At 37.8% G+C, this 25,343-nt stretch overlaps 1 protein-coding gene across 3 annotated transcripts in view; it reads left to right on the top strand.

Annotated features, from left to right (window-relative positions):
• Positions 762-25,343, top strand: part of ACADL (acyl-CoA dehydrogenase long chain) — a 37,525-nt gene continuing 12,943 nt past the window's right edge. The window contains exons 1-8 of one of the 3 annotated variants that reach the window (NM_001608.4): positions 762-1,022; positions 5,407-5,562; positions 8,107-8,244; positions 9,698-9,862; positions 15,947-16,013; positions 20,413-20,577; positions 21,527-21,628; positions 22,765-22,878. In NM_001608.4, coding sequence (NP_001599.1) covers positions 946-1,022; positions 5,407-5,562; positions 8,107-8,244; positions 9,698-9,862; positions 15,947-16,013; positions 20,413-20,577; positions 21,527-21,628; positions 22,765-22,878 — 984 coding nt within the window. In that variant the 5' untranslated portion in view covers positions 762-945. Of the gene's footprint in view, positions 1,895-5,406; positions 5,563-8,106; positions 8,245-9,697; positions 9,863-15,946; positions 16,014-20,412; positions 20,578-21,526; positions 21,629-22,764; positions 22,879-25,343 lie in introns of all 3 variants that reach the window. The other 2 variants (XM_005246517.5, XM_047444103.1) reach the window with 2 other exon arrangements.

Genomic DNA, 25,343 nt, shown 5'->3' with positions numbered 1-25,343 from the left:
GCATGTTTATCAGTTTTTTTCTACTGAGTTTCCTTTTGTGAAGTAAGAACAAATATGTTTATGAATGTAGAGTTAGCTGTGCTAAAATTAAATGAAAAGTCAAGCAAACTACCCAGATAGTTTAAGCCAATCACCCAGGATTTCATGAACCCTTTGAGCCATTTATGTTTCCCTTGAGGGATATTTCACATCTTTTACCTGAGAGTTCTACAGGGCATGCTTTTATTAGTTGAAATGTCACTGAGGGCGAGAGTAATTGTTCAACGGATGTACTTGAACTTGGACATTTAAGAATTAACAGAACGGGCTGGGCGCAGTGGCTCACGCCTGTAATCCCAGCACTTTGGGAGGCCGAGGCGGGAGGATCACGAGGTCAGGAGACCGAGACCTTTCTGGCTAACACGGTGAAATCCTGTCTCTACTAAATCCTGTGTCGGATTAATTCGTTCTACTTGCTATTACCAATAAATAGCATGGGCTCCCAGAGCTATGCCTGGCTAACTCTATCACCTTCAAGGGTTTGCTCAAACTATTCAGCCTACTTTAAGTAAATCAATTTCCAAGGTTACAAAATAAACTTCACGTACATTTTTATGGTTAGGTATTTGCGCGTATTTGGGGGCTCCATAGCTTTCATCCGTTACTCAAAGCGCTTCAGGACGCTAAAAAGGCTCAGAGCTGCTTCGATAAACAAGAAAGAATGCTGCAAGCAAAGGCAGCAGTTTCGCTGTAAAATCCTATTGCTGACAGCCAAGACGGGCGTATTCCCTCGCGACCAGCCTGTGGCGTGGTTGGGGCTCCGGAAGGGCGCGCGCGAGCGCTTTTTTGGGAGGACACCACAGGTGGACGCCTCAGCTGATCGTCCTCCCTCCCGGGGACCCTGCCCCGAGTCGCCGAGTAGCCGCAGAGTCGCCTCCGTCGCCCCGCCGCCCCTGTGTTTCGGACATGGCCGCACGCCTTCTCCGAGGGTCCCTACGCGTCCTGGGCGGCCACCGTGCGCCGCGCCAGCTGCCCGCCGCGCGGTGAGTGCCAGCCGGGACTTCCGCGGCTGCAGGCCGGGAGGCTGTGGGGTGGGGCAGCGAGTCACTCCTGTCGCTGGCTTGAAGCAGGGCGGTGCGCGCGCGGCTGGGAGTGCTCCCCAACTCCGGCGCCGGGCTAGAGCTGGCCTCCTTTCCTGGATCCCGCGGACTGGGTGCAACCAGCATCTGGGCGGAGGAAAAAGGGGTGTCAGCCGTGCCGCCCCGAGAACAGACCGCCGAGCCCACGTCGGGGAAAGCCGAAAGATTTCTCCAGAAGTTCATTCCGGAGCCCCAATCCAACCCGTCTAGTTCAGCGGCCTGCAGTGGGACCCGGGAGCCTGCGTTTTGGGAGGAGGTGGTCACCCCCTGGGCCCGGCTGCAGGAGCGCGGGCTGCGATCTGTGTCCCAGTTCGAGCTGTGAACCCGGCGTTCCCCACGGCTTAGACTCGCCGCGCGGTAGTGAACTTGGGACCCGGACTCAGTGCCCGGGCTGCGGCGCGGACCAGAATTGTCCAGGACAAACTGGGCTAGAAATGACCTGGCGAGGGTTCCATCAAACAAGGAAATTAGCTTTAGATATATCAACAAATCTAACTAAATACAGAGGATTAATGAAGACAGAGTCTAAGTAGTTCAGTGACTACTAAGGTGGTGTTTATAATATGATCAAAAGTTTCAGATACTGTCTGATGCATAAAATCTATTCACTGGGTAAACAAATTGGAAGCATGGAGAATTCATTATTTAATAAGGGTGAAGGAACTGGCAAATTTGCGAATGACAGCATTGGTGTAAGCTACTCTAATTTTATTTGAGAGCTATGAAACAAAATGCCTACTTTTCCTGGGGAGATTTGGGAAGACGTCACTGAGAAGGTGACTTTTCTTTAGGATACATACTTAACTCTTCCTTGGAACATTATAAGACAGTGATCCTCAAACTTTTTTTTTTTTTTTTTTTTTTTTGAGACAGAGTCTCACTCTGTCGCCCAGGCTGGAGTGCAGTGGCGCGATCTTGGCTCACTGCTGCAACCTCCGCCTCCCGTGTTCAAGCAATTCTCCTGCCTCAGCTTTCCTGAGTAGCTGGGACTACAGGCACGCACCACCACACCCGGCTGATCTTTTTAGTAGAGACGGGGGTTTCACCATATTGACCAGGCTGGGCTCAAACTCCTGACCTCGTGATCTGCCCGCCTCGGTCTCCCAAAGTGCTGCCTCAAAACTTTTTGATAACAGGGCTCCCTTATGCTCTTAAACAGGACCTCAAAGGACTTTTGTTTATGTAGGTTATATCTATCCGTCTGTCGTTATCGAAAGGTATCTACATAACTGAGAAACTTTACAGATATTTAGTTTATTTAAAAGTTACAATAAGAAGCTCATTACATGTTAACATAAATAACAGTTTTTATGAAAAATAACTTTTCCTAAACAGAAAAAAAGTGAAAAGAGTGACATTGTTTTACATTTTTACAACTCCCTTAATGTCTGGCATAATAGAAGATAACCAGATAACTATATCTGCTTCTGTTTTATCCATTGGCGTAAGTTAGTTTGATTGAAGCATGGCAAGAAAATCTACCCTCAAATAGAGAACACTGGAAAAAGGGAGACCTGAGAGACCCTCTGAATGGGCTGGGGGGCTACAGTTTTGTTGTAACAGCTTTTTTACCTTTAATGTGCAAAGGAATCACCTGGGAATCTTGTTAAAATACAGCTTCTGATTCAGTGGGTCTGGGATGGGGCCTGAGATTGTGTATTTATAACCAGCTTCTAGGTGTGTGGAAGGTGCTGGTGGAGATTGTCTCCCTTTTAAAATGTAGGAGACTTTAAAAAAACAATAATAGCCTAGCCAATAAGATTAGTTGCAGTTTATTGCCTTAGAGAAAAAAATGCCAATTTTTCCATTACAGATTTCTTCATCTTTAGACTGAGAAATACATGTTGCAATAAACTTGCTGCCAAGTGTTTTGATTTTCTTCCCTCTGCATATTCTCTCTTGACCACCTTTGACTGACCTGAAAGTCTTTATTCGTTTGGCATTTCTTTTGCTTTCCTATGTCTTTATATATTTTACTTAAAAATATTGCAGAGATTTCCTTAACACAGTACAGGCTATTCAATTTTAAGATCCAGTAAGACTCGATTTTAAATTCTGGCTCTATTGTTTACTCATTATGTTGACAAATGATTCGGTGTCTTACAGCCCCAGTTTCCTAATCTCAGCATATTTTTTTCCTGAGGGAAACTCTCAAGTATGGAAAATCTATATGGACAAATACGTGCTTTATAATTTTATCTCTACTAGCAAGAAAAAGGAGCCGATCATTTCCATTATAGGGATAAAGTAGATGTTAGTTTATTTGATGCAACAGGACAATGGTCAAGGTCCCCTGCATGTCCTGGTCCCCTGTTATCTCTTCTTCCTAGAATCTCTGGCCTCATCTACTCTTCTCAGCCCACTCTGGCTACAATTGCCTCCTTGCTCTTTCTAGAACACATCAGACACCATTCAGACATACAGCCTTTGCTCTAGTTGTTCTTTTGTCCTAAAATTCTTTTATTCTAGAGGTATGCCTGGCTAACTCTATCACCTTCAAGGGTTTGCTCAAATCTCACCTTTCTGGTTTAACCTACCCTGACTGCAGCACTTTTTTTTCTTTTCCTTTTTTTTTTTTTTTTGTTTGTTTGTTTGTTTTTAGTGACAAGGCTCACTATGTTGCCCAGACTGGTTTCAAACTCCTCAGCTCAAGCAATCCTCAGGCCTCGGCCTCCCAAAGTGCTGGGATTACAGGTGTGAGCCACCAAGCCCCGCCTACTACATTATTTCATACGGCAACCTCTGTCTCTGCCTCCCCCCAGGCACATACTCCTGATCCCTTCTCTACTTTTCTTTCTCCATAATACTTACCACCTTCTAAGGTATTATACAATTTGCATATTTATAGTTTATTGTTTATTCAGTTTCCCTTTGTTAGAATGTAAGCTTAAAAGCCAAGATCTTTGTCCTCATCTTAGTCCTTTGTTCGTTATTGTATCCCAAGTTACTAGAACAGTGCCTGGCACAGAATTGGCACTCAGTAAATATTTGCTAACTAAATGAATGAATAAGCCACAAAAAAAATGATACTTAGGGAAAACTTAGAAATAGGTTGTAATAGCGACTGGGCACAATAGCTCATGCCTGTAGTCTCAGCCCTTTGGAAGCTGAGATGGGTGTATCACTTGAGGTCAGGAGTTCAAAACCAACCTGGTCAACATGGTGAAACCCCGTCTCTACTAAAAATACAAAACTTAGCTGGGTATGTGTGGCAGGCGCCTGCAATCTCAGCTACTACAGAGGCTGAGGCAGAAGAATGGCTTGAACCGGGAAGGCGAAGGTTGCAGTGAGCCAAGATTGCATCACTGCATTCCAGCCTGGGCGACAGAGCCAGACTCCATCTCAAACAAAAAAAAAAAAAAAGGAAAGAAACATGTAATAGTAAAAAGTTATTTTTTTAAAAACCCTTTAAGTCTACTTTGATTAATTACATGAAATAGATCTTTTCTGGATAAGGACTAGAAAAGAAAAGGCAGAGTCCAACTAAGGAAGAAATACACTAAATTAGAATTTAATGCAAAATAGAAAAAGCATCCTTTGGCAAGATTTGAATATATGATAAGTTTTTTAGATGTGAACTTGAAAATGTACAAAATGATGCATAGATTTTCAAAATTTCTTTCAGGGGTACTTCAAGGGTAAAAAAGGCTGAAGACCACTGAACTAAAGGAGCTACAAAACTGTCTCATTTGAAGCTTGGTGTGGGAGGGATGGGAGTAGGTCTTAAATAATTCCATTTTACAGAATCTTTATCAGAGATTGATGGGTATTTTTATCTCCACCCAGATTGGCTTTGTAATGTGGCGATTACATCAACATGGTTTGCATCTTATACACCTGCAATTTGAAATTGTGTGATTCTGGTTAAAATACTAATTTTGGAGGCTTTGCATTATTTTAAACATTGTATATGATATGAAAATTTATCAGTATTACTCTACCGTACTATTTGAATTTTACATAATGTGATCCATATGTCACCTGACAATACTACATTTCACCTCAAGTCAGACCTGTGGTTAGTTCTAGGCATCATCTTCTTTAAGGATTTGGAGATGGAGACCGAGTTGAATAATGATAAGGTACTTCTTAATTCCAGCTACATGAGGTAGATCCCATCAAAAGTGGTGGCGCCCAAATTTGAACCCAGCTTTGTCATAATTCAAACTCTTTCTACTTGCCTCTCAAGTTTCTCTGTGAAAGAAATCCATGTTGTTCAGTGGCACTAATTTGGATATGAAGAGTAACAATTCACTTACTTTTCCTATTGCATATATATATTTTTAAGATGTTCTCATTCCGGAGGGGAAGAACGTCTAGAAACTCCTTCTGCTAAAAAATTAACAGATATAGGAATTCGAAGAATCTTTTCTCCAGAGCATGACATTTTCCGGAAAAGTGTAAGGAAGTTTTTCCAAGAAGAAGTGATTCCTCATCACTCAGAGTAAGTGGCACATTTTCCTCTAATGTAATGTATACTAGGGGTATTATAGGACCATTTCCTAGAATGCCATATATTGCTATACAGAAAACATAGTATGTTCAGGGCTTTATTAACATTTTTACTGCTCTTCACTGTAGTACTATAAGATCCCAGGATTCTTAGAGCTTTTTAAATGAATTTTAAAATGTACTATACACAAATAAGAAAATTTGAAAATTTACAACTTAGTCTAAGAGTAGTGTTTTTGAAAACCATGGGTAAGTGGTAACAAAATACTAGTCAATTTCATAGTCTTTCTTTTTCTGCTTCATGAATTAATTAAACTGTAAAAACCCAAAAAGTCAGCACAATGCAAACCTTGGTAAGCAATTGGTTACCTCTGGATAGTTCTTGATTAACTAATTATTATTATTTTATTGACCAGAAACTTATCTATTTCTATTACAATAAGATTTTGCTTCATTTCCAAAATTCACTCAATGCTAGTACAGATGCTCCTCAATTTAGTATGGGGTTACAAGTTGAAAATATCATAAGTCAAAAATGCATTGTTATTATGTTAACACTGTTACTATGTTATTATAAAAACAAAAAAATTCTCGGCACCGTTATTATGTTAGAAGCAGAAATTAGAAGATTAGTAAAATGAAGAGAGAAATGGTTCAGGAACATCATAGGTTTGTGAGGTTTTACACACCTAGCCTACTAAACCCCATAGTTTAGGCCAGCCTACATTAAACATGCTCAAAACAATTACATAAGCCTACAGTTAGGCAAAATCATCTAACACAATGTCTACTTTGTAGTAAAGTATTAAATAACTCATGTAATATATTAAATATATTTAATATATGTTAAAGTGAAAAACAAAATGGTTATATGGATACTTGAAGTAAGCATGTTTTCGACTGAATGTGTATTGCTTTTGCACCATCATAAGTAAAAAAATTGTAAGTTGAACTGTCATAAAGTACAGAGACATCCGTACTTTAAAACATTTAGAATGGTTTTTAAATAGCATTAAAAGTAACTTCCATTAGGTTTTTACTAATACCTTCTTGGTAAGAATGACCAAAATAAGCTAAACTCAGAAGCCAGAAGCCATGACTAGTCTTCGGTGAAAAGCAACTAGCTTCTGTTTTTTGAGGACTTGTTTGTTTGTTTGTGTGTTTGTGTGTTTTTTAAGACATGGTCTCACTCTGTTGCCAAGGCTGGAGTGCAGGGGCATGATCATAGCTCACTGCAGCCTTGAACTTCTGGGCTCAAGCGATCCTCCTGCCTTAGCCTCCCAAAGTGCTGGGATTACAGGTGTGAACCACCACATCGGGCTTCAACTAGCTTCTTAAAGACAAAAGAGACATTGTACACTTTGCTCTGGTAGGATCTCTTGTTTATTTCTCACTGCTTTTAAATTTTATTCCAGAAAAAATGTTAAGAAGGCTTTGAAATAAAATAATAGGAGCTGACAAATTTTAAGTCAATAATAAAAATATTTCCAAAGCTACTTTAAGCAAGAACTGTATTCAAAACACACATGATAATCCAAGTCTTAAAAATTTTTGTAGTGTCAGTATCTTCAAATACCCCATATCTCACTATAATCCACTTAAAAATACAAAAATTCTCAGATATTTTTTCACTATCTCCAACTAGCCATCTGTTTCCTCATTCTGCCATTCTCATTTTTAAAGAAGAAAAGCTGAGGTTGCCTACCTTACACAAATATCTAATTTTTTCAGAAGTTAATTTGATATAGAGCCATGGTGTAAGGTGCTTCTGCTCTCCTGTTCTTCCTATTTAAACTGTAATGAGGTTCCCTACTTTGTCAGCTTTTGTATGCTTGTACCATAAGTTCAGCACTTTAAGGAAATATGCCAAGGAGAATTGCCTTTTACAATACAGGTTAGGCAAATTCCCATGACAACATGCCATAACTAAGCTTGTATGTAAGAGTACCTGCTGAGCAAAACTACATCAATGAATATCAGTGGGTATAATTTTCAAGTCCAATAAATAGTCAAGATGGGGGAAGACAATGGCAAATATAAATAAGAGGAGAGGGCTGGGTGCAGTGGCTCATACCTGTAATCCTAGCGCTTTGGGAGGCTAAGGTTTGAGGACTGCTTGAGGCCAAGAGTTCACGACCAGCATGGGCAACATAATAAGACCCCGTCTCTACAAAAAAAAATTTTTTTTTAATTAGCCTGGCCTTGTGGCAGGTACCTGAAGTCTTAGCTGCTCAAGAGGCTGAGGTGGGAGGATTGCTTGAACCCAGGATTTTGAGGCTGCAGTGATCCATGATTGTGCCACTGCACACCAGCCTGGGTGACAGTCCTGTCTCAAAAAAAAAAAAAAAAAAAAGCAGAAAAAAGGAGGAACAGAAGTGATAAAAGAGTCAGAGGCAAATAGAAGCATATGGCTAATGTAAATAACTACCTTAAATTAAGAATGCATTTCTACACAAAATCATTCATAAGTTCAAAGTTGTGGCCATTTAAATAATATTTAAAAATTATCTGAATTTAAAATATTTGTTATTTGCAGATGGGAGAAAGCTGGAGAAGTAAGTAGGGAGGTTTGGGAAAAAGCTGGAAAACAAGGACTGCTTGGTGTCAATATTGCAGAGCATCTTGGTGGAATTGGAGGGGATCTGTACTCCGCAGCTATTGTCTGGGAGGAGCAGTAAGTATGGAGACTTTTAAGGTTGAGTCTTGTTTTGTAAACACACCACTCACCTTTCTGAAATGACCAAACAAACAAACAAACAAACAAATGTTTTCTAATCTTGGAAGATTGAAAATTCAGTGTAAAATGTAAAAGATTATACCGCTCATGCACTCTTGCACATTTTTTGAATGTGGGATAATAAGAAAATCCTTTTAAGTTGCTGAAATAGGTGCTATTGAAAATTAAAGAGATAGTTTTTTTTTCCTGTCAATGCTTATGGTTACTTTTCCCCCTTAGAAAAGATATTTGAAAGAGAACAGCAGAGTAGAAATATACTTCCATCAAATATATTAGAAATTTAATATACAAGAACAAATAAAGATTGCAGTTGAAAAATGGGCAAAGAATTTGAAGCAATAATTCATCAAAAAAGAAATGCAAATATGTTTTTTTAAATGAGAAAAGTTCATCCTTAGTAACAATCAAATGCAAATTAAACTGATCTGGAAGTATCATTTTGAGCATCTATAAAATTAGTGAAAATGAAAAATCCTAATACCCAGTGCTGACAAGATTGCAGTGAAAGTGACATACACTATTGGTGGCATTATAAATTAGAACAATAAATTTTGGGGGGATTAAAAAGGTGAAAACATATTTTAAAAAATATGTTCCTGCTCTTTGACATAGAATGCCACTTTGGGGAATTTATCCTAAGGAAATAATTTAATAGGAAAAATAGATGCTGTGTTCAGAAATCATTGTCATGTTAGGTCACAGTTCTCCAAATGCTGAAGCAATCTAAATGTCCAGCAGTGGGAGAATGGATAAGTAAATTATGGTACATAAACAACTTGGAATATTTTGCAGCTATTTAAGATTAAAATATATGTAAAAAAAATAGGATTTTGTTGTGTCATATAATTTATTTTTAAATTTTAAATTTTTATTTGTGTGTGTGTATGTGTGTCATAATTTTAAAAGAAAATAGCAAAGTACAAAATTCACTCCATGACTCCATGTTTTGTTTTGTTTTGTTTTTTGGTCCTTTTTTTTCTTTTTTTCTATTTTTTGCTTTTTTATTTTTTATTTTTGTTCTTTTGTTTCTTTGTTTTACCAAGACTCCGTCTTATTAGAATATATCCTTATGGCAAAGGTAATTAGAGGAATACAGTTATTATTCCACTGTGTTAGAGGAATACAACTGCAGGTGATTCATATTTTAAAATATTTTATCTCTCAATTAAATAAGTGTTCATTGAACTCTGGTAGACCACTGTTATTGTGTTGGAACCAGAAATTTTAAAATTAGTAAAAACAAAAAGAGAAAACACTCAGGAATGTCATAGGTTTGTGATGAGATAGGCCACTACCAAACAATTTGATAGGACCTTAATACATTGTTGTTATAATAGTCGTTTTTTATTGCTATTTTATGCTCTAATTTTTCTTCTTTTTTCATTCTAAGAGCTTATTCAAATTGTTCAGGCCCAGGTTTTAGTATTCATTCAGGTATTGTCATGTCCTATATTACAAACCATGGCTCAGAAGAACAGATTAAGCACTTTATTCCCCAGATGACTGCAGGCAAATGTATTGGTGCAATAGCAATGACAGAGCCTGGAGCTGGAAGGTAAGTTAATATTTAGTTGGCTTTGGATTCTTGGAAGCAGTGCCTTAACATTTTCTTAGTACTTGGTTAATACATAGACTGAGCTATATGCTAGGAGGAAGGCAAAGATGAACACGGGATAATTCATGACCTCAAGTCGGAAAATAACAATAAAGCGGATTATAATGTAAGCTATGTTTGAGATATTAACATAGTTTTATGCAAAGAAAATGGTAGTGTGTAAGTTGAATTTTCACCATAATGAATTTTAGGTGTAGGATGAGATTCACATGTAAATGCCAAGCAGTTTGTTACAGAGGTATATTTGGAATTCTGGAGACAAGGATGGAGTAGCAATAGGTTTTAAAAGTCTTTCATTTATAAGAGTTGATACAATAGGAATGAATAAGATCACATATTCAGTTATTTGCTGGTTATTTCATAAGTGTCTTCAGTGTGCCAGGTATACAGTAGTGAACAAAACAGATGTGGCCTCTGTGCTTATTGAGGAGAAGGGCAAGGGCAAGAAATAAGCAAGTATATATATTTGTAGCTATAAATTATGATAAGTACTGTGAAGGAAATGAAGTACTGTGAAGGAAACAAAGTAGTGTGCTGTAGACTAATGGTATGTTTGTGTTTGGTGGGATAGGGAAAAACGAATTTAGATGTGAATGCTAACAAAGGCCTATAAAAAGTGGTTGTATTTAAACTGAGATTTGACAAATGAGAAGAAACCAGTTTTATAAGAATGGGAGAAAGAGCTTCCACAGAGTGGGACCTGATCCTCAAGAGGAAAAATGAAACACAAAAAAGGGACCAAGGAGGAAAATCTGGGCATTATATTTCATTTGGAACTGTACAAAAGAAGATGGAGCAAGAGAGACAGAAGGATTGAGAGTTTTAAAGAAATCTAGACATGAGTAGGAAGAGAAGTCAGTTGGAAAGGCTGTAGGAAAGGAGAAAGAAGTTAGTAATGTCAAGGCCACCGTGATGTTGAGAATGGAGAAGAGGTTTTGGCAGGCCTGATGATCCTTTGTGATTTCAGTGGGGTGGAGGGGCAGAAGTTACCTTTTATGGGAGTGAGGTGGTTGTTGAGAAAACAGAGGCAGAGAACACAAAGTAATCTTTCTCAGAGCTGAGTGGTAAAAGGAAATGTAGAGAGGGGGCAGTGGTTTGAGGCTAACTGGTAAGGGAAATTATTTATGTTAAAGACAGCAGCAACTTGTGGGTCAACAGAAAGCAAATAGTGCAAAGAAAGAACTTAAAGATGCCAAAGAAGTGTAAGTGAAAATCCAGGAATTGTTTTTGCGGAGGTCAGGCCCTCCTTTTTTATTGTAAGATTTTCTTTTCTGACAGTGTTATTTATTTTTAAATCTCTTAATATTCTATAGCATGACTTGCAATATGTTTACATTGTATTTATCTTTTTAAGATATAAATCCCTAATTATAGGTCAATACTAACAATTTTGTCAAAGATTAAAGGTTTCTGTTCACTTCTGTTGCCTACAAGTGTGATCTAAACAAGTAGAAATTTAACCTTGTTCCTTAAAATTTGCTTTTAATTTCATTCTCTAAGATAACTACCTGACTGACTGCCAATATTCAGATTGAGTTGTATTAGCTCTGTGGTTAGCATGTTCCACTTCCAGCTCATTGCATATTAGCTCTCAAAAAGAGGCTATAGAATAAATGAAATCTTGATTTATCTCTAATTTATACATGCAAACAAAGGTTCATGTGATTTTTGTTTAAAGTCTCTGGCCTTATCTGTGGTTAAGTGTATATAATTAAGAAGGAAACCTGAGAATGAAGATGGAGAAAATAAGCAGATTTCTTTCTTTCTTTCTTTCTTTTTCTTTCTTTCTTTCTTTCTTTCTTTCTTTCTTTCTTTCTTTTTTGGAAGGTCATTGAAAGTCATGAGAGGATATAGTAAATAAGTCAGGTATTTAGAGAGATGAGCAAAGAGCCCATGTGGGTAAGAGAATATAAGAACAGAGAAAAGCCACAGATGAAGAAGAGTAATAGAGTGTTGAGGAATTACGGAATTATGGCATGAAATTGGCATGAAATAGGGAAAAACACGTGGGAAGAAAAGAAGATAGAAGATGGAATATGGTTCATTTTGCCTGCCCTCAGAGATGGATTGAGCACTGTCTATATTTTTGGTTTGATTTGGCCTCCACAGAAAAAAATGTTGCAATTGTTGAAAAACATCCAGAGTTTCACTGGCCCTTTCCCCTTCCATGGAGGAAAGCTTCATTATATATAATTATGTATCTTTGTATGTTGTATTACTTTAGCATTTTATAAATGCTTTCATGTTTATTTTATTATTTTTTAAAGAAATAGAGATGGGGTCTCGCTATATTTCCCAGGCTGGTCTGAAACTCATGGACTCAAGCATTCCTCCTGCCTCAGCCTCTCAACATGCTAAGATTATAGGTGTGAGCCACTGCACCTGATCTCATGTTGATTTTATTATATGGCTATTATAATAAGATATATGGAATATAGAGATATGATTTCTGTATAAGAAGGAAACAGAAAATAATAAATGAAGTATTTTGACCAAGTTCATAGAGCAAATTGTTGACATCTTTGGAGCCAGAGTGTTCTGACACCAGCTGTGTGATCTTGGGTAAAAATCTCTGAGCTTCAATGTCTCTTATCAATGAAATTGAGAAAATGATACTGAAGAAGATTATTGTGAGGGTCTAACTTGTTGGCTTTACTAAGTAGTATACGTTTTCATTTTTAATATTTCATATATAACATTCAAAAATTTAGGAAAAATTTACAAACTGAGCTATGTCATTACCTTTATTTCCTTTGATATGTCCCTGTATAGAAGAATTTTTTTTTTTTAAACAGTCTCGCTCTTGTCACCCAGGCTGGAGTGCAATGGCGCGATCTCGGCTCACTGCAACCTCCACCTCCTAGGCTCAAGCTATTCTCCTGCCTCAGCCTCCCAAGTAACTGGGATTACAGGCGCCCGCCACCATGCCCAGCTAATTTTTGTATTTGTAGTAGAGACAGGGATTCAGCAGGTTGGCCAGGCTGGTCTTGGACTCCTGACCTCAGGTGATCCGCCTGTCTTGGCCTCCCAAAGTGCTGGGATTACAGGCATGAGCCACCACACCCAGCTATAGAAGAATTGTTTTAATAAACTATGTACAGACATTAGTTACCGATACTTTATACATACTTATGATGAAAAATATGATGTTAGAATACAATAGCATTCAGGCTGGGCACAGTCTCTTGTTTATAGTGGAGGTCGGTCATATAGGCACCCTCTGCCTGGCATGTACCAAAAGTTCAGATCCCTAAAAGGAAAGCAGGTATTCAGCATAAGCCAAATTGTTTGCGCAAACAGTTCAGACAGTAAGCCACTCTTATGAGTACTGGGAATGGTGGGAACTCTCCTGAAATCCAGATTCTCAGATGTTAGCCACGGACAATGTTGTAACAGGCCTTTCTAAGGATAGCAGTCTCAGGCCTGCTATATTAATTCTTTTCTGTATACTTGGCATTTTAATAATATAATTTAACAAATGTTTATTGAGTGCCCGTTATGTACAAAGCAGCATGCTAGGCACCAAGCATATAAATATGATCTTGATACACCACATGTTCTCAAAAAACTTGAGTCAGATAAGTGTGGTAGGTGGGAAAGATAATTCCTTTTTATTATAATTGAAATTCAAAGTAAATGGCTCTAAGAGAGTATATTTGTTGCTTTATGGCGTCTGTGACAAATTAGCAGAGACTTGGTGGCTTGAGACACAGAAATTTATTCTCTTACAGTTCTGAAGGCTAAAAGTCCAGAATCAGTATTGTTGGGCCCAAATCAAGGTATCAGGAGGGCCACACTTTCTACAGAGGTTATAGGGGAGGATCCACTCCTTTCCTCTTCTATTTCTTGGTGGCTGTTGGCGTTCCTTGCCTTGTTGCCTCGTCACTGCAGTCTTTGCCTTTGTGGTCACATTGCCTTCTCTTCTGTCTATGAAATCTCTCTTTACCTCTCTTTTATAAGGACATTCATGTTTGCATTTAGGGCTCATCCAGATAATTCATGATAGTCTCTCTATCACAACATCCTTAAATTAATCACATCTGCAAGATTCTTTTTCCATGTAAGGTACAACAGCCTCTAGGGTATAGGACCTGATATCTTTAGGGTCATTATTCAGCCTAATACAGAGAGTGATTTAAAAAAAAAAAAAATGCAACCAGGTGCGGTGGCTCACGCCTGTAATCCCAACACTTTCGGAGGCCAAGGTGTGCAGATCAACTGAGGTCAGGAGTTCAAGACCAGCCTGGCCAACATGGTGAAACCATGTCTCTACTAATAATACAAAAAACTTAGCCAGGCATGGTGGCATACGCCTGTAATCCCAGATACTGGGGAGGCTGAGGCAGGAGAATCACTTGAACTGGGGAGGCAGAGGTTGCAATGAACCAAGATTGTGCCATTGCACTCCAGCCTGGGCAACAAGAGAAAAACTCGGTCTCAAAAAAAAAAAAAAAAATGCTGAGGGGCATAAAATAAAAACACCACTGTATTTATTACTCAGTTTTTGCATTGCTATAAAAAATACCTGAAACTGGGTAATTTATAAAGAAAAGAGGTTTAAGTGGTTCACAGTTCCACCAGCTGTATAGGAAGCATGGCTTGGGAGGCCTCAGGAAACTTACAGTCATGGCAGAAGGCAGAGGGGAAGCAGTCATGTCCTACATGGCCAGAGAAGGAGGAAGAGAGAGAAGGGAGATGTGCTACATACACACTTTTAAACAACCAAATCTCATGATAAGTAACTCACTGTCACAAGAACAGCAAGGGGAAAGTCCTTCCCCATGATCCAATCAGCCCACCAGGCCCCCTCCTCCAACACTGAAGATCATAATTGAACATGAGATTTGGGTAGGGACACAGAGCCAAACCATATCACCCACATAAAGAAGACAAATTGGAAAAATTACACAAGTAATGTGGACTGTTTATACACTCTGCTGTTTATTATAGGATATTAATAAAAATTGGGACCTAAGTGTTTTAACAATAGGGGATTATTTCTTAAAATTATGGTAAATCCATGATGATGCTCTATTCAGCTAATAAGAAGTCATTAGATATTGTTAACAGATCAAAATCATATTATATGGTTCCAGTTTTATAAAAATGCATATATATGTATAGTTATGTCCATAGAAAAATATTGGAAAGATATACCTTTAAAATGTTCATTCCAGGAGATAAAATTATTTTTAAAATTATTTTTCTCCTTTGGACTGCTGTGTTCTTAATATTTTATTTACTAATATTTGTTTCTCTTATATTTAGAAAAATAATCTATTCTACACTTAGAGCAGGTTTGTTAGAAAAAAATGGCATTTGAGACATACTCTTTTTTTTTTAGACAAATTCTCACTGTGTTACCCAGACTAGAGTGCAGTGGCCTGATCATGCCTCACTGCAGCTTCAACCTCTCAGGCCCAAGTGATCCTCTCACTTCTGCCTCCCAAGTAGCTGAGACCACAGGCGTGTGCCACCACACCCAACTAATTTTTTAACTTTTTGTAGAGATAGAGTCTAGCTTTGTTGCCCAGGCTGGTCTCAAACTCCCGGGCTCAAGCAGTCCTCCAGCCTCAGTATCCCAAGGTGCTGGGATTATAGGCATGAGCCACCATGCCCTGCCTAATAGCTAAATTTTTGATCAATAGAGACAGGGGAAGGAACCAAGGTGTTTAAAGGCAGCAAAGTACATGGTGACACGTAATCTCAGGGATACAGTGAGGTTTGAAATGTTATGTGAGTCCCACTGGGGTCTCGAATGTTAGTTGGGCTTTGTTATACTACTGTATAAAACCTGGCTAATTTATATAATAAATCTTAATCATATATTTATTTGTATAAGTGCTTTAGAATATAATAGATCAGCATGGTTTTTCAGTGCAATTGTGTGAACATTCTTAATACTCAGCAATTTTATAATGGTGTAGCCAGTTTGAATAATCTAATTTACATACATACTTATATCATTTGTATAATTTAATTTTTATCATTTGATGAATTTTTTATCTTTTCTTTCAATTACAGTGACTTACAGGGAATAAAAACAAATGCTAAAAAGGATGGAAGTGACTGGATTCTCAATGGAAGCAAGGTGTGTAAAAAAGGACTTCTATAGCCCTTCTTTTCAGAGTCATGCCATGGGTAACAATGTCTCAAAGACAACTCATTAATTCTATTAAATCTAGGGACTCAGGCAGGAATTGAATTTATCTAAGTTGTTTTGGAGACAGTAAATTTACAACATATATTACTTAAGATCTGTGGTAGCTTCTTCTATATTTCATTTTGCATGCCCCCTCACTAATATGGCAAAGGTTGTTTTAGCTTCCAAACAGCCCTTATTAAACCAGAAAAAGACAAGGTGAGGCTCACATTGCCCAAATGTGGGACAAATATTAATAATACTTAAACTTTATGTTGATAAAAGATTGGGGGAAAAGCTTTCTCATATAGATCAAGAAGAATTTCAAAAGATTCTAGGAGAAGGCCAGGCACAGTGGCTCACACCTGTAATCGCAGCACTTTGGGAGGCTGAAGCAAGAGATTGCTTGAGCCCAGAAGTTTGAGACCAACCTAGGCAACAAAGTGAGACCCTGTCTCTATAAAAGTAAAAACTAAAAAAATTAGCTGGGCATGGTGGTGTGCCCTTTGGTCCCAGCTACTCACTCAGGAGGCTGAAGAGGGAGAATCACTTGAGCCAAGGAGGTTGAGACAGAGTAAGACCCCCTCTCAAAGAAAAAAAAAAAAGATCCTAGGAGAAAAAGATATCAGTGATACAGTGATAGAATTTGAGAGCCATTTGAGAACCATTCAGTTCTACTAAATTAATCAACTCACTGGTAGAATTGGAGAGCGCTTCCAATTAAGGTTACAAATGGGCTCAGGATCTCTGATATCAATGAGGGCAAATGCATTTGATATCACTGAGGGCAAGTGATATTGCCCACCTGAAATGGTATCTGGTATATACTCAGTAAATATTTGTTGTTGACTGAGTGTTACGTGAAGGAAAGATGTTCATTTTATTTACTGTTCTAAAACAATCTTTCTGAAAATATGTGCCAAGGTCTGTTGAAGAATTAGTTTTTATAAGTTTGGGCTATTATCTCTGTATTTACAAAATTGAATCACTGGTGTTCTTCAAATATACTTTAATAAATATTTGTTTAAATAATTTCTCCTAAGAATTATAATTAAACGGATGATAGCTCCAACATATAATCAGTTAACTCCTCACATATAGAAGGCTTGTTTTGAAAGGGGAGTGGGATATTTGGTCAGAAGTGAAATGGGAACCACATTCTCTTATGCCTCTAGCTCTCTAAGCAGACCTCGTCTGCTCAGCCATAGGGTTTTGTGGGAACCACACAGGAAAAGTACCACTGACTCTGTTTCAAAAACTCTATTAGAAATAGCAAAAAACTGAAAGCAAGTAAAAGTAAAGGAATGGGTAAGCAAATACGGTGCATCTGAACGAATGTGCAGCCATTAACACTAGCAACACAAAGTTTTTAACAGTACAGGAAATAATTATACATTAAGTGAAAAAACAGGATATAGAATGCAAGTATAGGAACATTTTTACTATATTAAAATTTAAAAATATGAGAAAGGAAATTATCAATGATAGTTGTATTATGTACTTATGGAGAATTATATTTTCCTTTTTCTTTTGAACTTTACATTCTCTATACAATATCTGCAATGATTTTCTGTTATTTTATAAGCATTTAATATCCTCCTACCACCCAAAAATGTTGGCCCTCATTAGGGATAATTTCAGCCCTATTCAAACTTTGGAGTGTCATAATTAGGAAACAAACTGAGAAAGTCCACTTGCAAGGAAAATTCTCATATAACTCTATTAGAAAGGGGGATCCACCATGGTGTTTAAACTCACTTTAGGTCGCACTGTTGTAGAAATGGTTCAGATTTTATTAATCCTTTGCTATAATTACTTCCAATAAGAACTTCTGGAGAACTCCACTTGATTTACCAAATTGAGCTCAGCATATTAAAATGAATAGTTTTTGCCCAATGAATTTCTCCTCCCTTCCTTTCTATTCCATTGTTTATTTATTATCTGTAGTTAAAACATGTATGAGACCATTTGAGAGCATACTGTAGATACTAATTCCTGGATGCTGTGTGATGCAAAACAAACAAAAAAGCACTCATAGCATTTCAACTGTGGCAGCTATACAGACATTAGGAACTAGACAGAAAGGTAGGAGCTTGGTAGACTTATAAGGTTTTTGAGCAAGGGAGTCGTGTAATGGAGCAATACTGTTGAAAAAATATTTTTGCCAAGTTGTATAGAATTTTTTTGAGGAACATCTTTTTCAAAATATATTTTTAAAACATCCTTTGGCCTCCTCTGTGCCAAAAAGAATTCTAAGCACTTAAGATAGATATATGAATAGGAAATGGCTATGAGCTCCTAGTAAGGAGGCACGTTGATGATCTTTTATTATTGTGTCACCTATAACCATACTGCCACCACTATATTCATTTGCTGTTGTGTAGACAACACTAACATTATTTGCCCATTTTTCATTATTTGTATGTATCAGTGCTGTGCATTTTAGGTGATGGGAGTAACCAACATCATTTTATACCCCTACTATTTCAAAGAGAGAGAGATAAAAACAGATCATTTTGGTAAATTTGAGGTGTTGTAGGACCGCTTAACCCAGCCTGGAGAATTTGAGACCTTTTGGCCAATCTGATGTCTAAACCACCCAGGATGAGTACAATTCATTGCAGCAGAGTTGGGAAAGGGCCTTTCCCAAGTAGCAGAAACAAGATTTTCAAAGACTCATAGGTCAGGAAGACCTCGCAACGTGATGGACAGCAAGTAGTTTAGTAGAGCTGACTGAAGAAGAGGAAATTGGGGAAAGTGGGACAAGCAATAAGCCAGGTAAGGAGAGGTAAGCTAGTGCCAGTTTGTGATAAGTTTTCTATTTCCTGCTAAAGGTTTTGAATTTATCCTGAAGCCTATTAGGAGCTATTCAAAAATTTTTAAGTGTGAAGGTGATATGATCAGATTGCATTTAGAAAAATCTCTTTGACATCATGATGAATGATACAGCTGTAGAGAGATCAGTTGTAGGAACTTAAGAAATGATGAGGGCTGGAAATAAGGTAATTACAATAGACTTGAAAGGAAGTGAATAAATTCCAAAAGTATTAAGATGGGTTAGAAAAAACTAGATGCTGAATTGAATATGAAGCAGGATGATAATGTAATTTATTGAAGCATTCATTGAGATAGGGAAATAGGTTGATAATCAGGATTGGATAGGAGTAGGGGTGGGAAGGAATATGTCCTGCCCATGAGTCATCAGGTGGAACTATCCAGAAGCAAGTACTTATTCAGGTCCAGGTCCTATCAAGAAATGTGGCTTACCAGGAGTTTGAGGCTGCAAAGAGCTATGGTCACACCACTGCACTCCAGCCTGGGTGAGAGAGACCCTGTCTCTAAAAAAAAGAAAAGAAACATGGCTTAAATAAAGATTTGGAGACATCAGCATGTAGAGGGTGACTCAAGCCGTGAAAATGATTGAGATGAACCAGGAAAGATGCAGAATGAGAAGATAATTATTAATATTTGCTCTGAGTATACTGTTTTCTGTATCAATATCATCTGATAATCCCTCTCATTTGGCTTGTCATTTTTCCCTCCTTAATCATAGTTTCCTATTTAGACCATTTTAAAGGAAGCAGGATATCAATTACAAAAATCAAAAATAGTCCTTTTCAAAAACTGATAAATCTGAGAATAAATAATATAGTGCCATTTACAGCAGATTTTCTTTCTTTTTATTTTTCTTTTATTTTCTTTTCTTTTTTTCTAGAGACAGGGTCTCACTCTGTCACCCAGGTTGGGGTGCAGTGGTACAATCATAACTCACTGTAACCTCAAACTCCTGGACTCAAGCGATCCTCCTGCCTCAGCTTCCTGAGTAGCTTGGACTATATATAGGTGCACACTACCACATCAGCTAATTTTTAATTTTTTTGTCTCTACTATTTTGGCAAGGCTGGTCTTGAACTCCTGAGCTCAAATGATCCTCTTGCCTCGGCCTCCCAAAGTGCTGGGGTTACAGGTGTGAGCCACCGGGCCCGGCCAGATTTTCTTTTCTTATCAGTGGCTTCCTTCTAAAATACAATTTATCATCATAATAGACAATTTGGTTTCATTTTTAAAGAACATAATAATCTCTGTTTATTATTATTATGTATAATATTAATAGTGAAAAGAAAATCTATAGGTTTCATTCTTTGAAGCATTAAGTAATTTTTCCCCTGATCCTTGATAACATCATGTGTGAATAATCAACTTTGCAGATATTTGGGTAGGGTACAGAGAGAGGTATCAAGCATGTCTTGTCTGTTTTAGTTTTCTGTAATATACTTTCTCCCAATCATAACTTGCACATAGAATTGAATTATCATGGTGCATTAATAATGTACTTGGGGTTTTGCAGGTGTTCATCAGTAATGGGTCATTAAGTGATGTTGTGATTGTAGTTGCGGTCACAAATCATGAAGCTCCCTCCCCTGCCCATGGTATTAGCCTTTTTCTGGTGGAAAATGGAATGAAAGGATTTATCAAGGGACGAAAGCTACATAAAATGGGATTAAAAGCCCAGGTGAGTGATAATGTAAATCATATTCAGATACTAATTGAGTTTACTGTTAATCAGATAGGAGACTTACATAGAGGATTACATGTGGCACAATTTTATTTCCTATGCTGAATTCCTAAAATATGCTTTTCTGATGTGGTAATGAGATTTATTCTCATTTATACCACTCTATCTTTCTGATGGTCAGCAATAGAAATGAATCAAGGTATTTTGAATATCTGTTTTAGAAATGGCAAAATTAACTGCATGGTAACAAGCCATCTATTTGTAAAATGCATTAAAGAAAAATATGAAATAAAAATAAAGTGTGGCCAGGCACAGTGGCTCACACCTGTAATCCCAGCACTTTGGGAGGCTGAGGCCAGCGGATCACCTGAGGTCAGGAGTTCAAGACCAGCCTGGTCAATATGGTGAAACCCCATCTCTACTAATAATAAAAAATTAGCTGGGTGTGGTGGCAGGCACCTGTAGTCTCAGCTACTCGGGAGGCTGAGGCAGGAGAATCACTTGAACCCAGGAGGCAGAGGTTGCAGTGAGCCAAGATCACGCCACTGCACTCCAGCCTGGGCAACAGAATGAGACTCTGTCTCAAAAAAAATAAAACAAACAAACAAAAAAAACCCAGAAAATGTTCTTTCTATACATTACCAAAAATGCATGTTTTGCTTAATATGTATTAGAAATCCTTAGTTCCAAGTACCTTGAGAACTGGACAGTATTAGAGCTGGAATGATAGTGTATTGCAGTAGGAAAGCCACAAGGTTTAGAATCAGATGGCTGTGGGTTCAAATCCCTGGTTTACCACTTACTAGTTATGTTCATTAACTACTCCAACTTGGCTTCCAATTTGTGTTTTGTTTTTTTGGAAAAAATAATATTCACTTCAATATTCACTGGGTTATTGGAAGATTTAAATGAGACCATTCTCTACATTTTTTGTATGGTCTCTTAGGATACCGCAGAACTATTCTTTGAAGATATACGGTTGCCAGCTAGTGCCCTACTTGGAGAAGAGAATAAAGGCTTCTATTACATCATGAAAGAGCTTCCACAGGTCAGAAGTGTTTAAAGATTCCATCTTTTGACTGAATAATGAATTGGAATAGAATAATATAGAAACATGTTATTTCTATATTATGCATTCAAATTTATACATGCAAAACTTGTGAAATAGCTAATCATTTGAGTATTAAAGTTGTAATAAAAGTATGAGTTTTATAGGGTAGTTAAGTAAATAACTGAACTCAGTAATATCCAATCAAAGCTTATAAAGTAAGTAGGAAAAACAGATATTTCAGTTCTGTGATTCCTTCTTAGAATGATTTTAGCTTCTTAACTACAATTCAAAAACTTTTAGCTCTTTGTAAGGAAATGTCTTGCAAAACATTTGATAGTTTGCCAGTTTTTAAATAATAACTGTGAATCAAAGGGAAAAGTATAAAATTCAGACTGAAAAGTTTTAGCCACATAGGGTCAGTCCCTAAACAGCTATGGTTTTAAAGTATGGTTGACAAGTGATTATTGAGCCTCAGATGCCAGTGTAAGGGGGTACTCCTGCCTAGTGACTGCCATGAAAAACACCAGCATGATGGAATCAAACTGACTAAGGCTACTTTTACATTAATAGGTAGAATTTAACTTATGTGCTTTAAGATGTTTATTTCCACAGATATATTGAGTCATACAGTGTGCAGAGATTAATAAATTGAAATAAGCAACTGGGGATTGTTTTTAACTCACATGTGAGTAAAGAGAAGAAAAATTAAATTGCATATATATAATGAAGACAGTCATTCATGGGCATGGTGTTATGTGACTGTTGTCCCAGCTACTCGGAAGGCTGAGGTGGGAGGATCACTTGAGCCCTGGAATTCCAGGATGTAATGAACTATGATTGTGCAACTGTACTCCATTTTTGGCAACAGAGTGAGACTTTGTCTCTTAAAAATTTAAAAAGATTATAAAAAAATAAAGGTAGTCATTCATAAAAATAAAGGATTTGCTTTAGAAAGTGATTAGAGATATGTCAAAAGAATCTCATAAATCTGTTTTCTTATAAGGAGTTAAGATATAAATTAATCTTTATGAGTTTATTATAAAGATAATTTATAGGATTTATCGTAATTGAAATTGTGTGAAAATCACTTGCATAATTAGAGTAATGTTTAAGACCTAATTTTTGTGTTATAGGAAAGGCTGTTAATTGCTGATGTGGCAATTTCAGCTAGTGAATTCATGTTTGAAGAAACCAGGAACTATGTTAAACAAAGAAAAGCTTTTGGCAAAACAGTTGCTCACCTACAGGTAAGCTTGTCACTGTGGTTTAGTATTAGATGGTATCAGTTTACTAATCTGAAATGGCCTGGGGTAAATAGAAGTTTGGAGTTATTTTCATGTAAGGTGATATTAGAAACCATGGAAGTGGATGAGATCACTAAGGAGAGATAGTAGAGAGTAAGACAGGAGTGGTCTTAGGACACAGTCCTTGAGGAAGACTACAAGATTTAAAGGTAGAATTCATATTTGGAATTCATATTGTCTGAAAAGGAGGAGCCTGTAAGATGACTGAGAATGAATAAACAGAAAGGAGAAAGCAAATCAGGAGAGCTTTGTCACAGAAGCTGGAAGGAAAGAGGGCTTCATGGAGTAGGGAGTGGGATCAATTGCTGCTTAGGGGAAAAATAAGACGAAGGGCAAAGAGTGTTCATTGAATACAATGATATGGAGATTATTTAGTAAGAGCCATTAATGGAGGTGGAGGGTGACACACCCGATGAGTAGATAGAAATGAGGACGTAAAACAATACTGATGGTAGGCAACTCTTTCCTGAGTTTGGCTGTGAATGGTAGTTGAGAGAAAGGGTGGTAAGCGAAGAGGGGAGGGGAAGGAGATTTGAGATTCAAGGGAGATATTTGGGAGTTATTAATTTTTTGTCGTTATTTTTAGGATGGGAATGCGGGTGCATATTTTAATACCTGTATATAAAGAAAGGATTTAATAAAGAGGGAAAGGTTGTAGATAGGAAGGAAATAATCAACTGCGTAAGGTCTTTGAGAAAGGGTGAGTTTGTGGATGCTGACACATGGAAAGATAGGCCTTCCCATCAACAGGAGAGGGATTCCTTCATTTGCACAGGAAGAAAGGAGCAAAGGACATCTATGAGTTCAGACAGATACATCACTCTGTTGGTAGAAAACTACAAAAGTTCTTTATAGAAGACTTCTATTTCTTTAAATAACGTGGCCAGGCACACTGACTCACGCCTGTAATCTCAGCACTTTGGGAAGTTGAGGCAGGCAGATCACTTGAGGTCAGGAGTTCGAGACTAGCGTGGCCAACATGGTGAAACCCTGTCTCTACTAAAAATACAAAAATTAGCCAGGCATGGTGGTGCACACCTCTAATCCCAGCTACTCGGGAGGCTGAGGCAGGAGAATCACTTGAACCCAGGAGGTAGAGGTTGCAGTGAGCCAAGATCGCACCACTGCACTCCATCCAGCCTGGGCTACAGAACAAGACTCCATCTCAAAAATAAACAAATAAATAAATAAATAACAATAGAGAAAGTCCTTGAAAGACAGGTGAGTGAAGGAGGCATGGAGGTGTTGCAGAAGGGTGAGGGAGGTATGAAATATCTTCTTCAGAATGAGAAACTAAACTACTTTCTGCTTTTTGTGTATCAATCAGCTTTATGATAAGAGTTTAGCTTCCCAGGTACAAACATAGAGAAAAGACAGATGATTGTGTTTACCTAGGATTGAGTTTTCCCAGGAACTTGAGGGTTTTTGCAAAAGAACTCAGTATATAGTGGCCGCAGTCACTAAATATGCTAATTAAATTTTAGACCCTATAGTTTCTTTTTAAATGAAGGAATAGTTTATAATTCCTTCATGTGGTCATCAAATTGGCAAAACATCTCACCAGCAAAAAACCTGGAGTTGGGATTTGACTTAAAAATTTTTAAGTAGAATGACTGGCTGAAAGGCTTTGTGAAGGGAAAGGTAGAAATGAAACAACTTGGTGGCTTTTCAGAACCAGCATTCTAGAAATTATGTTCAAGTGTGGTTTATGTCCTAACACAGCTACTTGAATCTCCGTAGTCTAGTCGTGTTCTCTCTCTCAAAAATAGTTTCCTATTTGTAAATATATAAAATGTATTTGATTTGCAAAATTGTAAAATTTTGACTATAAATCTTTAAAATTTATAACGTTTGTAAATATTTATAAAATATTTTCCTACTTGTGAATATCAGAGACTGCCTCATAGCGTTGTTGTGAGGATTATGTTGTAGAAAAAACTGGGTTCTTGTCACAGGACCAGGATAATTTGGGCACGCAGACACATTGTAGATTGAGTAGGGCAGGGTTTATTAAATGAAAAGGAGAAAGGAACTCTCAGCAAAGTGAAAGAAAGTCCTGCGAGCAGTTCTCCTGCCTCACAGATTGAATCCTAGGTCATCACACAGGAACAGGAGAGGCTAGGCTCCTCTCCTCTGCAAACAGTGTGAACTTCCCGAGGCTCCACCCCGTCCTCCCAGTGCACAGGTGGGCATTATTCAGAAAGGATCAGTTGGGAAAGGGCAGGCTTCATCTGGGACCAGCAGTCGGGTTTTTCAGCCTTTAGGCTGTTTAGGCTTGAAGGCAGGGTTTCACCAGAGACCCTCGGCTGTCTCCTGTCTCTATCAATTAGATGGGGTAATATACATAAAGCGCTTGGAATATTGCCTGGCAAAGTAAGCCCACATTAAAATTAGCTGTTATCCTTATT

The sequence above is a fragment of the Homo sapiens genome, chromosome 2, assembly GCF_000001405.40.
Source record: "Homo sapiens chromosome 2, GRCh38.p14 Primary Assembly".
Lineage (NCBI taxonomy): Eukaryota > Metazoa > Chordata > Mammalia > Primates > Hominidae > Homo > Homo sapiens.
The sequence above is the reverse complement of the archived record's forward strand: the minus strand, read 5'-3'. Positions and strand labels throughout refer to the sequence as shown.